The 4,217-nt window shown below is 44.4% G+C and overlaps 1 annotated feature.

Moving 5' to 3' along the window:
• Positions 3,252–3,501: a silencer, noted in NCBI's record as "fragment chr20:46979410-46979659 (GRCh37/hg19 assembly coordinates)". NCBI's record gives its function as "represses an EF-1alpha promoter that drives an FKBP-Casp9 reporter gene in an ReSE screen in phorbol 12-myristate 13-acetate-treated (for megakaryocytic differentiation) K562 erythroleukemia cells {active_cell/tissue: K562(+PMA)}" and the evidence as "EXISTENCE:reporter gene assay evidence [ECO:0000049][PMID:32094911]".

Here is a 4,217-nt window from a genome sequence, read left to right as displayed (position 1 = left end):
CAGATCACCACAGCCCACCATCTCTCTGAGCACCCACCCACATTCTCCATGCAGCATGTAACTTGTAGGAAATGAAGGCATGCCCCAGACTTTGCCTGTGTCCAATGTTAACTCATTTCCTCTTTAGCACAAAGCATTTACTAAACGAGAGTTACTGATTTAGTGGATGCACCACTTGACTCTGTCATCTCTTCAGTGATAAGATCTGCATTTTGCTCACTACCTCATCTCAGAATCTAGCAGACTTCTTGATGCATGGCAGGAACTCATCATTATTTGCCTCATTTAATTGAATTGTATTACACTTCTTTTTACACTTCATCACACCTAACAGTGTTTTGCACAGAGAAGTCATTCAAAAAATTCTTGCTGAATGACCATATAACTGATCAATTAGTCACTTTTCAATTGAACAGTTTCCATTGTCCTTACAAGTGAAAAAAGTAAAACGACTGCAAAAGTGCTTTTATTATTGCACATTGATTGCTCCAATTAAATGGTTCTCTAAGCTTCAGAGAGCACAGTGATTCAGCTCTTTTGATTTTAAGCTCAGGTCTTTTCAGTTCTGATACATGCAGGTTTGGAAATCTGTGAAATGTGTAATGTGGATGCCATAAAACCATAATACTGGTAGCCAATTTAAACATTTCCTAAGGAAATTTATATCATTTAGAAATGAGGGAAAGTTCTGGATTGGGACTCAACAGAGTCAGTTTTAGGAAATTTGTTTCAGGGAGTCAGCTGAAGAGCAGCAGGCTGAGAAGCCAACCTGGATGTGACACCCCATGAGAGAAAAACTCACTTTAATGAATAAAGCAAATCCTGGCAAAGTGCATAGAGCTGATCTCAGAGGGGCTGCCTATTTTCTGACAATTGGCAATTCTATCTGTTAACTACAAGTGTGTCATGGGACAAGGAGGAAGACTGCCTGCAGCCCTCAGAGAATAGGATAGTTATCCTCTTTATTGGCACACAATCATGCTTCTAAGTAATTCTTTAGAGCTCATCAGTGGTGAGACCCTTGGGTATTAACTATATCCCTCTGAAGGCTGTGACCCAGAAGTGTCGGGAAATATATCTTGGGGGCAGAGAGGAAAGGAAGCTGAAAAGTAGCTTTTATCCTGAGCGCATTCTCCAAAATAGGCTTTACAACAATCTTTGCATGTGTGATGGGGTGTGTGTACACATACGCATATGTTCTGGTGGTGTGTGTGCCATGGTGTGTGCATAAGTGTACATGTGCCGATATGTATATGCACATGGACAGATGTGCTGGAGTGTGTGTGTACATGGGCAATTATGGACTGGGGTATATGCCAGGGTATGGGTGTACTGGGGTGTATGTATGCACATGGGCAGGTGTGTTGGGGTGTGTGTGCACATGGGCAGGTGTGTTAGGGTGTGTGTGCCCATGGGCAGGTGTGTTGGGGTATGTGTGCACATGGGAGGGTATGTTGGGGGGTGTGTGCACATGGGCAGGTGTACTTGGATGTATGCATGTATACTGGGGTATTTGTGTATGCCCACGTATGTGTGCATGTGTGTGCATGTGGGCATGTGTATTGAGATGTGGGCAGGTGTGCTGGGGTGTTTGCATGTACTGGGGTGTGTTTGTCTATGTGGTCACACACATGTGTGCATTTTTACTCCTCTATTACCATGAAGGGCCTGGAGGCCAGCTCTCTGCATCCATTTCCTCTGTGAGTCCTGCAGCCCCCACCTCTAGGACTTAAGGGTGTTTGGTGAACTCAGGAGTGTGGGAAGATGAACTGGAGGAAGAGTCAATTAGTTTCTCAGTCTGGATCATCAAAAGTGGCTGAGATAAAAGAAATACTTCATCATGAAAACATTTAGCAATCTTAAGATGGGTCCACAAAAGGATCACATTCGTCTAACCACTGTGATTGATTCAGGGTGATCACGTGACCCAGGGCTAGGCCAGTGAGCATGTGGTATTCCCCTTGACCACTGGAATTGGTTCAGAGCTGGGCATGTGACCCACAGTCAATCATTTAGAGTGGATAGGACTTTGAATGCATGCATGGAGTTTTTGGAATAGAAACCTCCTCTGACCAGGCACAGTGGCTCATACCTGTAATCCCAGCACTTTGGAGGGCCAAGGTGAGAGGATTGCTTGAGGCCAGGAGTTTGAGACCAGCCTGGGCCACATAGTGAGACCCCATCCCTAAACAAAAATAAATAAATAAACATTTAAAAGTTAGCCAGTCACAGTGGCATACATCTGTAGTCCCAACTTCTTGGGAAGCTGAGGTGGGAGGATTGCTTGAGCCCAGGAGTTTGAGGCTGCAGTGAGCTATGATTGTGCCACTGCACTCCAGCCTGGGTGACAGAGTAAGCCTCCATCTCTAAAAATAATAAATAAATAAATAAAATACAATAAAAATTGACCAAAAAATAAACTTTTTCCCACCTGGAGAATGGGGAGTGCAGACAACAATCTGGGGCAGTGACAGCCATTATGTGACCATGAGGAAGGCCAGTGGGAATAGAGGCTTCAGAGTTGAGGACAAAGCAAGACCACCAGAAAAAATTGACCCCAAGGCTGTGGAGCCTGCCTGAGCTTCCTCCAACTCAATTTCAGCAGCCAATACATTCCCTTTAATGTTTTGTTCAGTTTGACTTTTTGTTGCCATTTGCAACCCGAAACTTACTAAGTGATACTGTACTCACCCCTGGGGTGTTCAAGGAAAGAGAGGCTGAGAAGGCTCCAGGGATGCTGAAAAAGGAATTTCTGTCATGGGTTGAAGATCAGGCTAAAAGCTTGGTAAGGTTTCTTCAAACTCAATGACATGACAAAAGCCACTTGACCAGTGGAAAATGGGTGTGTGTGTGTGCATCTGAGTATGTATTTTCCAGCTTAAACTGACCATTTTGGTATACCTAGAAAGGATATTTAATTATATATTTATATGCATATGTAAGAGAAATATTAAAAGAGGCAAAATACAGAGAATTAAAGGAATAAAAGGAATATGGTTTTCAAACCTCAGCCAAGCTGGTGGGAAGAACAGCTTAGATGCAATTTGTGAGCTGAAGGTTCCATGAACCCAGCTGGGGCCTGATCACTTCCAGGGAGGATGCTTGGCTTCTTGTTGCAGGATGGGGCACCCGTGGTCTATGGAGGAAGCTCCTGGACTACTGTTGACCAGAGAAACAACTTGACCAATGAGGAAGCAGAGCAAATGCTTCAATATGTTTGCCTCACTGTTTAGGCTTGACCTTGAAGAGGGCAGGGCAGAGCCCTTCAAGCACATCACCAAGATCAGAGTGGCTGCCAAGTTCTCCCTGTTGACTCCATTTTGTTGGGTCATCACCATGGCAACTACAGGGACCAGGGCCCTGGCCTGGCTGGTGAGTGTTTGCAGCAGCACCTCCTGCTGGTGATTCTGGAGCATGCCAGGTCCATGGAGTCTTGCCTGCAGTCACTGCAACTTACCCTAGAGCGTTAGTCTACCCAGCAGCAGGTCCAAATTATCTGAGCTAGAGGCCTCAATGTTGGCGTAAACTGACAACATGGGACTTGCTAGGACGCATTCTTTTGTTTAATCATAATTACTATTCAGTTCAGTTCCTCTGTTCTGGCTTCATGAAGCTTAATGATATTTCTTGTATCTGCTATAAGTAGAGTCAACGCCTCCACCCACATGCCATCAACTAATGGTTGCTAAGTAACCTCTCCTCTCCCAGCCCAGATCTAAGAACACCCCATGGCTAGACTTCAGCCATGGAATAGAAGTAAAATGCAACTGCTTTCATATATACTAATCAATATGACGCTGTCAGGCCATCTACTATCCCTAAGTCTGAACACAGTCAGAGCATATCTCTGTGTTTGTGAATAAACCAAAACCCAGGAACTCCTGTGAAGTGTTTGTGCTTCCAAACCCAGGAGCCACACAGCAACATCACGGGGCTGGAATGAGATGATTCTTCCAGAGCAACTTGCAGGAAATCTGTGTTAGGTCCACCTAGGGCTGGGGGCATACATCAGGTAAGTTTAAAGTCTTTGTGGGAACCCGTAGGAGAGAGACCATTTTTAAGTAAACTGTTTAGTAAATATAGTACACAAGCAGAATAATGCACAGTTCATAAGTGTAAAACTCACTGAATTTTCCCAAATGGAACACATTCATGAAAGGGCATCCAAATCTAGAAGGAGAACGGAATCAGCACCCAGAATCTTCCCTTCTCTCTTC

The sequence above is a fragment of the Homo sapiens genome, chromosome 20 (assembly GCF_000001405.40).
Source record: "Homo sapiens chromosome 20, GRCh38.p14 Primary Assembly".
Taxonomy (NCBI): Eukaryota; Metazoa; Chordata; class Mammalia; order Primates; family Hominidae; genus Homo; species Homo sapiens.
Note: the sequence above shows the minus strand (reverse complement) of the source record. Positions and strands in the feature narration are given on the sequence as shown.